At 36.4% G+C, this 13,766-nt stretch overlaps 1 protein-coding gene across 5 annotated transcripts in view; it reads right to left on the bottom strand.

Moving 5' to 3' along the window:
* Positions 1 to 13,766, bottom strand: part of EPHA3 (EPH receptor A3) — a 374,514-nt gene that overhangs the window by 79,379 nt on the left and 281,369 nt on the right. For 2 of the 5 annotated variants that reach the window (NM_005233.6, NM_001410778.1), the window contains exons 6-7: positions 6,795 to 6,919; positions 3,276 to 3,438 (exon numbers count right to left, since the gene is read on the bottom strand). In NM_005233.6, the coding sequence (NP_005224.2) occupies positions 3,276 to 3,438; positions 6,795 to 6,919 (288 nt within the window). Of the gene's footprint in view, positions 1 to 2,410; positions 3,439 to 6,794; positions 6,920 to 13,766 lie in introns of those variants that run through there. The other 3 variants (XM_005264715.4, XM_047447673.1, NM_182644.3) reach the window with 2 other exon arrangements.

Genomic DNA, 13,766 nt, shown 5'->3' with positions numbered 1-13,766 from the left:
CCACTGCATTCCCACCTGGGCGACAGAGCAAGACTTGGTCTCAAAAAAGAATAAATAAATACATAAATAAAATAAAATATTAAAACGAGAGGGAAAAAGCAAACTGTTAAATACAAACAGAAGTCTTATGTCTATTTTTTAAAAAAATCAATATATAACAAATAAGAGTCTTATTAAATACTTACAGCATTTAGGAATATGTCATTTTGATTTAATAAAAACAATAGGGAGAGTGAGACAAAAAAAATTTTGTCTTTTACCTCCTAAGACAAAAGGCATTTTTTTCTCATTTATATTTAAAATCTGGAAATATTATGGTGAAATAAGGGCAAAAGTAAACTAACTTTTGTAAAAAGATTAAAATGTGTAACTCACAGTTTTTAAATAAATGAGGAGGGAGAAAAAGGCTCATATTTTTCCATCCTTTTTTCCTCTTCTCTCTCTCAATCAATGGAAGCATTGCTAATACAAAACTTACTTGGCAAAAATCCTAAGGCCCTGCAGTTTTCGAATGAGATATTTCCTAAACCTCAGACACTGAAGCCTCATTAGAAGGTTATGCATAAATGCTACCACAGCAATATCTGTGGTAAATCTGGAATTACATTACAATTTTAAAATATATTGTTTTTGCAAATTTACTTATCAGAGAGGGTTAAGTGTTAAGACCATGTAATATTAGAGGGATGTTCCCAAATATGCATAAAACATGTTTATCTAATAGTGATCTGAGCTTTTTGCCTCATAATATGCCTGATTTCTACCACAGGACACAATAAATATTAGCTTTTGCTAATTCTATGATTTCGGATCTCTCCTGATAAATCAAATATAGATTTTGTTATTGCTGTTATTTCAAATATTCATTTAAGTCCCAGTACTTTGGGAGGCTGAGGTGGGTGGATCACCCTGAGGTCAGGAGTTCAAGATCAGCTTGACCAATATGGTGAAACCCCATCTATACTAAAAATACAAAAAAAATTAGCCAGACGTGGGCACATGAGCCTGTAGTCCCAGCCACTCGGGAGGCTGAAACAGAAGAATTGCTTGAGTCAGGGAGGCAGAGGTTGCAGTGAGCTGAGATCATGCCATTGCACTCCATCCTGGGCAACAGAGCAGGATTTTGTCACAAAAAAAGAAAGAGATTTTGAGAAAAGTTAATCTGTAATCATTTCAAAAGGAGAAACTTTCTTCGTACCACTTAACATTTGCAAAAAGTCTTAGAAGTACTAATGTTAAGTTACACTTATATTTTATTATTGAGCCATCTAAAGTTTTTAATTTGTTTTAAACCTTGTTGGCACTTGCATTATTTCCATCATACTTCATGTTTTGTTTCTAATATCTTCTGAGGGTGATTTCTCCATACACATTTTATTGTGAGGATTAAAAGAAGTCTTTAAGAATAGATTTACGTATTTGAGGATGGCAGCTCTCCTTTGAGTAGAATTGTCATGGTTCAGCTATGAGCAGATGATTTCTAAAAACATTAACATTTCAATACCTGGTGAAATTTATAGCTCCTTATTGTAAGCAGCATTTCTAATTGTCCGACAGAAAGTGTGCCATAAAATATGTACTCCAACATGAGTAAACTTGATGGAATAAATACTATATAACTAGAATGATTCTTATATTTTTAGGTCAATCCTGAAAGTTTTTATCAGGTATCAAATTTGGACACAAAAATATACCAGTAACAATGAGATTTTATGTCAGGAACTAACTATCTAGAAAATGGGAAGTACAGGTGTCAGGGAAGAATGGGAAATGGGAATGGTCAGAAGATTATTATATTCCATTCAGCAGAGTGTTGAGCATTGTCAGACCTTTCCTGGGTAATCTATTTCTAAAGGGTGTGCATCTTTGCTCATCTTTCTAGGCTACCTTACAACAGTGAATTTAAGTTGTAGAAAACTGATAGTGATATATATCCTTTTTCCTTTAACAATTGAAATAACACTTATTTACTAGAAAGACAACTGGTTTGTGCCCTGTAAGAAAGATGACCTCAATCATTACATTTATTACCCTCATTGGATATTAACCAGTGTGGGATATATTAGCACATTTTTAGCATATTATGATTACCTAAACACACACACACACACACACACACGCTCACACACACACACACATAATTATGTATCTGTTCTTCAAGTTTTTCTTAGCACAGGTTTTAATCTCTTGCTAATCTGTTTATTAATTAATGAGTTAAACAGCCGGGCGAGGTGGCTCACGCCTATAATCCTAGCACTTTGGGAGGCCAACGCGGGCGGATCACGAGGTCAGGAGATCAAGACCATCCTGGCTAACAAGGTGACAGGAGATCAAGACCATCCTGGCTAACACGGTGAAATCTGGACTCTACCAAAAATACAAAAAATTAGCCGGGCATGGTAGCGGCCGCCTGTAGTCCCAGCTACTCGGGAGGCTGAGGGGGAGAATGGCGTGAAGCCAGGAGGCGGAGCTTGCAGGAGCTTGCAGTGAGCCGAGATCGCTCTGCTGTACTCCAGCCTGGGTGACAGAGCAAGACTCCGTCTCAAAAAAAAAAAAAAAAAAAGAAAGAAAGAAAAAAATGAGTTAAGTAAAATCATTAACTTCTACTCATTTTATATTAGTGCCATAGACATAATTTTACCTTTTTGAAAATTATATTTTAGCAAAGGGCTTTTTTAAGTATGAAGAAAATTCATTTGAAAAAAAGAAAAGTTACTGGAAAAATGTTTGCCAGTTTTAGGCCAATTTTAGCCAAATTTGGGGTTAAAGGAACAGGCTATTCAAATTACTTCTGAATGTGAATGAAGTGATAAAACACATTTTAGAAAATCCTTATTCTCTCTGTGATATGCTATTGAATGTGTTAAGGATTAAAACAAAATTAAGATTCTCATGGATCAGCAAGTTTCTTTTTTGTGGTTCATTGAATCACGCAATGAACCTGGAATATCTGAAATGACAGACACTGGAAGTGTGTTACTATATTAAATAATGTTCCTCAAAAGCAATTTATGGCTAAAAAAAAAAAACAGAAGCATTTCAGGCATTAGAATATGTTTGATTTGCATACAAGAAAAAAAGAAACACAAAATGTACACCCACACAAACACAAATACTGTATACAGACACAGGGCTCTGCAAATTGCAATGTCCCAAGCAATATACCTTAAATGTATCACATTTGTTTAAAACTTAGAAACAGTGAGAATAAACGATCAGACATCTTTTGCAAGATCCCTGCCCCCTCCTCTAGACTGCATTGAAATAATACATACAGTCTGGACTAGTTTCAAACTCAAACTTGCGGCTGTTCGTCCCATATCCAGCGGCTGTTCGGGCTCGGATTTGGAATACGTATATAGTGTCAGGCTTGAGGCTACTGATGGTAACATTTGTGCCTCTTGCCCTCAGAATGGTATAACTTGTTTCTTGTTCCTGCTTTGAGGTCAGAAAAAAAAATTCATGTTAAAATCAAATCTTCATAATGCTATAAAATGATAAACAGTGAACCACTCAAACCTGATTCTTTTATATTTTAACACAAATCATAGGATGGATTTAAAAAGTCATATCGATTATTTCAATTATTTTATTCTCTGAACGCAACTTAGGCATTTTTTTTTTTTTTAGACAAAGTCTTGCTTTGTCACCAGGCTGGAGTGCAGTGGCGCGATCTCAGCTCACTGAAACCTCTGCCTCCTGGGTTCAAACGATTTTCCTGCCTCAGCCTCCTGAGTAGCTGGGACTACAGGTGCACGCCATCACTCCCAGGTAATTTTTGTATTTTTAGTAGAGACGAGGTTTCACCATGTTGGCCAGGCTGGTCTTGAACTGCTGACCTCAGGAGATCCACCTGCCTCGGCCGCCCAAAGTGCTGGGATTACAGGCATGAGCCACCGCACCTGTCCCAACATGGGCATTTCTAAAAATAAAAATATTTACAGAATTTCCCAATTTGAATATTATGATTTCTGTCCTGCATGTAAAGCAGGAAAAATTTGGCTTTATTCTAACCAGTAAATATGTGAGAGAAGATATGTTCTCTTCAAAGTCAAGGCTGAGAGAAAGCTTAAATCTAATTCCAATAACAAACTTACAAAGAAGAAAATATCCCTTTGAATTAAACCTAATAGGAATGCTCTATTGATTCTGGAGTAGAACTTTTTTTTATCAACCTTAAAATATTAAACATAAAAAATCAAGGTTTTATATGTAGCTCTACATTATTTTTAGCTTAACTGTATTTGTGCTGTATTTAATCTAAGTCACTGTGGTTTGGTAGAGACAAAAATCTCCAGATCAAAGGCTAGAAATGCTTCCCAAAAAGGATCTCTAGGAGATTCACATTGTACATTAGATTCACACGACACATTTTAGTGGTCTCTTTGTGTCAAGCTTTGTTTACAAAAATTGAATTTATCAAGAATTACGTTTTTTCTCTCACATATATTATTATACACAGAGCTCCTATGAGGAACCTGATTTCAAGCAATGGTACAATGTCCCTGCACCTAGAGTAGGACCTAGAGTGGATAATATGAAACGCTGTATATCCTCAACCAAAACGAGATTGAATAGTACAGAAAACATGCCATACATTACATATACTGTTAATCACCATCAGCGAAATAACCAGTCCAGAAATCTAGACCTTGTGGACCTTAAATCCTAGAGAATCTTTCTAAATATTACCAAGCATACTATAAATATTTAGAATTAATTTTTAAATTTAGGTATATGTGATGCAAATATGTATTTAAAGGAATATATTTTAAATAATATTACAGGTATGTATGTATCAAAAAATACTTAGGGAATAATCAATAGATTTGACCATTTTTTCCTGCAATAGCTAATATTGTTTAAAAGTAATGTCCAGGGGTGGTGGCTCACGCCTGTAATCCCAGCACTTTGGGAGGCCCAGGCGGGTGGATCACCTGAGGTCACAAGTTTAAGACCAGCCTGACCAACGTGGAGAAACCTCATCTCTACTAAAAATACAAAATTAGTTGGGCATGGTGGCGCATGCCTATCATCCCAGCTACTTGGGAGGCTGAGGCAGGAGAATCGCTTGAACCTGGGAGGCGGAGGTGGCGGTGAGCCGAGATCATGCCATTGCACTCCAGCCTGGGCAACAAGAGTGAAACTCCATCTCAAAAAAAAAAAAAAAAAAAAGGCAATGATGCTTGTTGCATTTGTTGAGGGAGTTTGAAATAAGGCAGCATATTTCTCATGTTTGTGAAAGGTGCAGATGTATACAATTAAAATTTGAGATCAACCTCATAGATCTAAATGTTAGGTGTTCTTCTCCCAGTCCTGAAATCTAGTTTGAACTGAGGCACATTACTGATTTTTAAGAATTTTGTGGCATCATTTATGAACATGAATTATTATATTTGCCCATTCTATCTTGTCACACTTCTGAAAATAGATCACAATCCTATGAGTATTTGACTTTACCACAGTAGAGGACTCAAAGCTAGGAGAAAATTTATTTCTACTACAATTTTTGAACAATGAAGTTTATTTGGCATCAATTTCTTTTAATAAAAAAGATATACTCTAGGCTTTCTGTAAGAGAGACTATGAAAAAAATGACATTATACTAGAGAAATATATTAACTTCAAGCAAGGAAATAACTACATAATGCAAAACAATGTTTTTACATTACGCAGTTTGCACAGTTGATTATGCCAATAATTCTTATAAGGATCTATTATCATGTAGAAAAAGGTACCTGATATAGGGAAAAACCTACTAAAGGAGGACTCACGGCTGCCACAATTCAAAACAGATGCCTAATATTTATTAGCAATGAGGCTGTGGGAAATTCATATAACATCACTCTCTGTTTTCTTATTTCTAAAACAACTTACTTTGCTACTTCCATAAGGTTGTTATACAGCTCAGACTTAAGTAATGTCCACAGAAATGTTCTGTAAATATAAACTGCTATATAAATGCACAATTTGCATTTAATTCATTTTAACACACTTTATAAACTGAAGTAGATACACAAATATGTAGTGTTCATGTTAGTAGTTGTGAAACTAACTAGCTGTGATTCTAAGGTTTAAACATATCTTGTCTTTAAACTTTACTATCATTTACAACCAGAAAAAAAATGAGTTATTTAGAATGATGGAATACTCGCCACTCCACTCAGGGCAAAATAACCACATAACTATTTTTTAATAATTTTTAAATTTGGGGTAAAAATAACCATGTGCCTATTTTTTTTAATAATTGCATTACCAAGCCACAACTTTATGTCACGCAAATTTATCCATCTATCCCCAACCTTTTAAATTTCCTTCTACAGGGTCAAGAAAATCTTTTCATCATCAGTTAAATAATACAATATTTTTCTTACTAGCACAATGTTGCTATTTGTATTGAATGAAATGCATGTAAATTTGAAGGTCAGGAAATGATGCTTGAGGCAATGAACTAAAAAAACAGTTCACAAATAGACTAAGAAACCACAATAAAATAGTTGGTAGAGTAGGGGTCTTGGTGTAAAGGGAGATAAATGTCATGCTATTGCCATAAGTAACTGGATTAAGTTGGCAGTGGCATCTTTGATGTTGTTTATTGCTGTAGAATAGGGGGTATTCAACAAGATTCTTTCTAAACCTTCCTCTACCAATAAATCAAAGGGGTCACAGGGCCACAGTTCTAAACAGTGCTCTACCATTTACCAGGAATGTCACTGGTTTCTTTGCAAGAGCACAGCTCATGAGGAAACAGCTTCTTGCCTACACAGCCCAACCCTTAAACATTGTTTCCCCACCTTTTCATAGTATTTGACCTCGTAGTCCAATATGATCCCATTAGGATGTTCAGGTTCTTGCCAGGACAAAGAGATGCTATTTCTGGAGGTCCGATCTTTCTTAATCGTCAGGACAGGTGATGGAGCTGTAAAGAGAGGATGGGAGGGGAAGGTGGAAGGAAGCAAATTAATGGGTTAGAAAGGGTGGCGAATAAGAACAGAGGGAGAAGGGAACATGCAAATGGAGTCTATCATTGTTCCAGTTTTTTGGCAAGAAAGCACTATTTCCATTTCCAAGGCTCTTGAATATTAATCTGGCCCCATATCCAGACTCAACAGCTGGATTATAGCCCTGGTACATGCAGGCCTAGGGAAAATGTGCTGAGATTCTCTGCTGCTGGTGGACTAGTGGCAAGTGAGCAGATGTTTTCAATCTGCTACTATAATGTAAGCAATGAAATATATTTGATGTATTAAAAAAAGAACAAAACATCAGGACTACCTATTTGTTATAATGTTGCAAAGTTATTAATGCCAGATTCTTCAGCTCATTGATAACATTTTCATATGCAGCTCTGCAAGAGGACTGGAATCCATTATGCACAAGGAGTCCCATGGTATCCATAGGTAATAATAATATTTAGTATATTGTAAAATAGATATGATTTAGGACATATTACAGTAGGCCTTGACTTCTGACAAACATCTCTTGACTACAAAGAAAAGGAACAACAATCTTCTTTTGTACAGTTTTATTTCTTAAAAAAATACTTAATGAGAGGTACCAAGGAAATGACTGCTATATGTGTTACAATTACCTAGACATGTTTTGAAATGTCTTATTTGATGGTGATTCTACATTTGCTATGTTTTGCTAAGCATTATCGAAAGTATGGAATATGAATAAAAACCCCATCTGTTTGGATCAGATATCATAGGGTCAAATTCATTTCTAACTGAAGATTAAAAATATTTTAAGTGATTTCCTTCTTCAAACCCTTCCATTAAAAGGAAAAATGCATACTATCATCAAAGTACTTCTGCTTTCAAATCTCAATCTTGGTTCACTCGCCAATCGAAATGTCTCACTGGAGTTCAGTGGCACCCTGCCTTAATGGAATGCAGCAAAATAAACTACAAACACACAACAAACAAAAACTCAGGAATCTTTAGATACATTAACTGTTGAATTGTTTTCATTGTTAAAGCACTTATTTTTATATAGATTTTTCTCAAATCAAGGACCATAAGAACCTCATGTATTTGTATTTCCCACAAGTTAGCAGAAGTTCTGTATTTGTTGATGTTTCTATGATTATCACATGATGATTTTTGCATCCGACCTCTCATTCAAACTTTCCTATCTATAAACACTTTTCATTTTTATTCTTCACCTATAATAGAAACTTTCATGATGCTTGCCTTGTGCCACTTCAGAGAAAACTGTACACCAAAAAATAGAATCTACTGCAATATTTCCCATCAACTGGGTTTTATTATTTGTGAGATCTCATAGGAACACCTTCTAATTGAAGCATGGATTGGCCTGGGAATGATGACTTAATCTTTTATTATTTTTTTCTTTCTTTAAGACAGGGTTTTGCCCTTGTTTTCCAGGCTAGAGTGTAGTGATGTGATCTCGGCTTACTGCAGCCTCCACCTCCCAGGCTAAAGCAATCCTACTGGCTGAGACTACAGGCTTGTGCCACCACAATCAGCTAATTTTTTATTATTTGTAGAGACAAAGTTTTGTCATGTTGCCCAGGCTGATCCTGAACTCCTGGGCTCAAGTGATTCTCCCCGGTAGGCCTCCCAAAGTGCTAGAATTACAGGCATGAACCACCACACTTGGCCTGACTTAATCTTTTGCCAAGGAAAAATGTAGGTGTTGCTTTTCTGATGAAAAAGTAAATTCATTTTCTTACCAACTTTTTGCTCCCATTAGGAATTAATATCTTTTCATACAAATTAACATCATTTACCTTTCATTATCAATTCTTCATCTATTCAATAATCCTCTATTTTAGTCCCTAAATTGGCTTCACCCCCACAACCCTGCAATTTGCTCTCTAAAATTGATTCCAAGCAAAAGATAAGTTATTTTTCTTATACTTTAGTTGAAGCTTCATAAACATATTCTATATTTATAAATGTATTGCTGAATTATAAATAAATGGATATGTGGATTTTTTAAAAAAAAATTTATTTTTGCTTACTTTAATACTTAGAAAAATCAAATCATTATCCAATCACTAATAAAAAAATTTCAGCCCCAGTGTCTTTGGACTCAAATTTTGCATTTTCTACAATGAGGAAATCTACTAATTTTTCTGCTGAAGTAAGTCCATTAACGGAGTCACATTTAATGTTGGTTTCAAGAGCATTTCAAGAAGCTTAATGTTGGAACACATGAGGTCCTACATTTAATTTGATACCACCATGAAACTTTCATTTTTTCCTAGTGGTTAAAATTCATTTTCAAAGAAGTTTTGAAAATAACCAGGTACAGCATCTCTCCTTTAAAAAAAGAAAAGTGAGAAAACAATTCATTTCAAAGAACAATTGCGATGAGGATTGTATTAACTTTTTCATGAAAGCTTTGTGGGCTGTTTTGGGGGTCTGTCCAAATTTTACTGCTTCTGCACTGAGCAGGACTTTATAACTGTTGAATTTCTTCAAAGCTCTTTGAGCAAGCTGCAGGACCCTGTTGGACTGTAATAAATAGGCTTTTGTAATTCCACACTTACTTAAGTAGAGGCAATTGCTTGAAGCTTGTGCCATCGCTATGTTAAATGAACCTTTTCTGATTGCTGCTTTTGGACCCCTAATAAGTCATTTGTTCTGCTCTTTTAATACACGCCCCTTGTGCTGGCTGCATTTCAGAAAAGTTCAACTCAGTACACCAGCTGGAAGCCCGGTACTTTTTAATACTCATCAATATTTTAATATTAATAAATAATTAATAGGAATTGTTTTTCTTTCCCCTGATAAATAATGTGGACATAATAAAACATAATGGAGAAAGAGACAAATTCTCTGGGCACTCCATTGTATCAATGCTTTTAAAAAGTTTTCTAGAATACTTTTTAATTCATGTTTTGAGGTATAATTTATCGATTTTTTTATGTGCTGTGACACAATTTAGAATATTAATGAGAAAGTGATACAAATTATGCTTTTCATTAATTTTCAGATATCAAAGAGTGATTTGTTCAAATTACTAATTTGCAAATTCATAGAAATTCTTTAAATCAGTGTTTTTCTGTACAAAAATTCATGATATTGCAGTGTACACTGTATGACAGATTTATTTTCTTTTCATTCTTCTGTTTTTTAAATTTGCAATTTGAGAGAATGGAAGTTAATGGTTAAACAAAATGGAAAAAAAAAACTTTCAACTTCCTTAAGACTGGAAAAATGCTGAGAGCTACAGGCAAAATTAAGAAGGAAGAGAAATCTCAGGGATTTTTTGGCAAAAATGCTGGTATAGATGCTAAAATCGCAATTGCCAGTAAATGACCTGATAGCCTAGGTTTTTTTTTTTTCGATGGAGTTTCACTCTTGTTGTCCAGGCTGGAGTGCAGTGGTGCAATCTCGGCTCACTGCACCTCCACTTCTCGGGTTCAAGAGACTCTACTGCCTCAGCCTCCCAAGTAGCTGGGATTACAGATGCGTGCCACCACACCCAGCTAATTTTCGTATTTTTAGTAGAGACAGGGTTTCGCATGTTGGCAAGGCTGGTCTCGAACTCCTGATCTCAGTTGATCCAACTGCCTCAGCCTCCCTAAATTCTGGGATTACAGGAGTGAGCCACTGCGCCCCTCCGGATTTTTAATTTTCTGCCTCTTACACAAACTAATTGATAGATTACTGAAATGGTTCCCCTATTAAGAGAAAGAAGTTGATGACAGAATAGGATGCTGAGAAACTGGTGCAGGCATTGACGCAAGTTAGCAAATAGTTTTGTAGAAAAACAAATGAAGAAACTGGTAAAAAGAAAATTTAAAACCGTATAAAGGTAATAATTTTTAGCAAATTTAAAATAATGTCTGGTATGTAAAATACATTTTTGTTGTATTGGTATTTAAGAGAGAGAAATAATATTAATATTTGATCTTTAATTTTTGCTATTCTGGATACAGCTGATATATGTGCCCTTTGTAAAACTATAAAGAAAGGAGACATAATATACTTTGTAAAGTGGTATTGATTATATTTTAAATGAAATATTTCTTAAGAGAATACAAATAGGCCGGGCGCGGTGGCTCACGCCTGTAATCCCAGCACTTTGGGAGGCCGAGGCGGGCGGATCATGAGGTCAGGAGATGGAGACCATCCTGGCTAACACGGTGAAACCCCATCTCTACTAAAAAAAAAAATACAAAAAATTAGCTGGGCATGGTGGCGGGCACCTATAGTCCCAGCTATTCGGGAGGCTGAGGCAGGAGAATGGCGTGAACCTGGGAGGCAGAGCTTGCAGGCTTGCATCGAGTCGAGATCACGCCACTGCACCCAGCCTGGGTGACAGAGCGAGACTCCATCTCAAAAAAAAAAAAAAAAAGAAAAGAAAGAAAAGAAAAGAAAAGAAAAGAAAAGAAAAAAATACAAATAAAGGAGAAAAAAATAGTTAAGACTAAGAGGGAGGGGTGGCTTATGCATCACACAGCTGACCATTCTCCATGAAGCTTCTCCGGACTTACACAGCGGTACTGAAAACTTCCAAACACCGCCAGTACTAAAGAAACTCTTAACTGTGTGTCAGTGGAATTGCATGATGCTTTCAATCTATTCTTCTTTCAAATGTTTCTTCGATCATGACATAGGACTAGACAGATATTTTCACCCTATATATCTAGTAATATGTGTTTTATAAAAGCTGATATAAAAGTGCTTTTCAGGCCAGGTGCAGTGGCTCGTGCCTCTAATCCCAGCACTTTGGAAGGCTGAGGCAGATGGATCACCTGCAGTCAGGAGTTCGAGACCAGCCTGGCCAACATGAAACCCGGCTCTACTAAAAATACAAAAAAACGAGCCAGATGTAGTGCTGGGCACCCATAATCCCAGCTACTCGGGAGGCTGAGGCAGGAGAATCAGATGAACCCGGGAGGCGGAGGTTGCAAGTGAGCAGAGATTGCATGTCATTGCACTCCAGCCTGGAAAACAAGAGTAAAACTCTGTCTCAAAAAAAAAAAAAAAATGCTTTTCAATTTCTCTTCCAAGAAGACATAACTTTCTGGAAACCAAGGGTTGACTTGCTCACAGTGTTTTCTTCCCTAAGTCCAGGCCACTGCAATGACAGCCTCTTGAATCAGCAACATGCAATGACTAGTTGACATATATAACGGAGAGATGCAAAGTACCACTTTTTTTTTTTTTTTTTTTGGAAACGGAGTCTCGCTCTGTTGCCCAGGCTGGAGTGCGGTGGCACGATCTTGGCTCACTGCAACCTTTGCCTCCCGGGTTCAAGCAATTCTCCTGCCTCAACCTCCCGAGTAGCTGGGATTACAGGCGAAGGCCACCATGCCTAGCTAATTTTTTGTATTTTTGGTAGAGATGGGGTTTCATCATGATGACCAGGATGGTTTTGAACTCCTGACCTCAAGTGATCTGTTTGCCTTGGCCTCCCAAAGTGCTAGCATTACAGGCATGAGCCACCACACCCGGCCAAAGTACCACTCTTAACAGTTAATAATTGGCCAGGCATGGTGGCTCACATCTGTAATCCCAGCACTTTGGGAGGCTGAGGTGGGCAAATCATGAGGTCAGGAGGTCGAGACCAGCTTGACCAATATGGCAAAACCCCATCTCTACTAAAATTCAAAAATTAGCTGGTTGTGGTGGTGTGTGACTGTAATCCCAGCTACTTGGGAGGCTGAGGCAGGAGAATCACTTGAATCCTGGAGGTGGAGGTTACAATGAGCCAAGATGACACCACCACACTTCAGTCAGGGCGACAGAGTGAGACTCAGTCTCAAAAAAATTTAAAAAAAGTTAATAATTGAACCTCAGCCGAGAAGTAGAGAAGAACTTTTTCTAAAAGATTGTTTCTTCATCTATTTGAAGTACAGAAGGAAGATTTTTGCACATTGTAACCTGAGTCATTGACTACACTCAATAAAATAATAGAAAAACAAATTACAATGGTAAAGCAAAAATGTTGGCTAGAAAGTGTCTCCTTGTGAAGGGATCTGGTTAGGGATGAGACTTGCGTCATTCACAATTTGTGTTAGAATTACACTTGATACATGTGTCTGCCAGATCTGGTGACAGACATGGAAGGGATTCTTTGTTTTAACTATGGTGTTTTAAAATCTATATTTGCCATTATTCTGCCTCTAAAATATGACCCTTCCTTAAAATCAGGAAGTGAAAACTTCAAAATTCAACCCATAAAGGATCTGGTTTGGTTTATTTGTTTTTATTGGGACCTTCCTCTTTCTAGATTTGGGAATTTCTAATGAACCTCTGAGGTATCTCTGTGATTTAGAGATTGGACAAGTTAAAGTAATAACAAAAAGGGCTCAGGATTTCTTTTCTAAGTGAGCCAAAGCTTTTAAAAATTGTCTCCATGGGAAAATATATGCAGTGAATGGTTGAAAGATTTTTCTTTTGAATCAGACATGACTTTAAAAGCATTAGTCTCTTATTTTTCTTTACCATTCATTACAATGCCTACTGAGGAACATTTCCTTCTCAGTTTTTTCAGAAGTGAACACTTCTGTTAAATCTAGAAACTCTCTTGGGTTTGATTTAGCATAATCATTCATTGCTTAATGTTCTTCAACTCACCATTCCTACACTGATTTCCCCAAACCTGGTGTTCTGATTTTCTATTTTAGCTACAAAACCTTATCAATTTGCAGTGTATCCAGTTCAAAATCTCAGAGTTATAGTTTATATTTTTTCTCACCAATAATTCAGCTTGCCAATCAGCTCAACTTTCTGAAAACTGATCACTTTTCTACTTTTCCAGCCGTGGATTAGTTCAAACCC

Source organism: Homo sapiens, chromosome 3 (genome assembly GCF_000001405.40).
Source record: "Homo sapiens chromosome 3, GRCh38.p14 Primary Assembly".
In the NCBI taxonomy this organism is placed as follows: domain Eukaryota; kingdom Metazoa; phylum Chordata; class Mammalia; order Primates; family Hominidae; genus Homo; species Homo sapiens.
The sequence above is the reverse complement of the archived record's forward strand: the minus strand, read 5'-3'. Positions and strand labels throughout refer to the sequence as shown.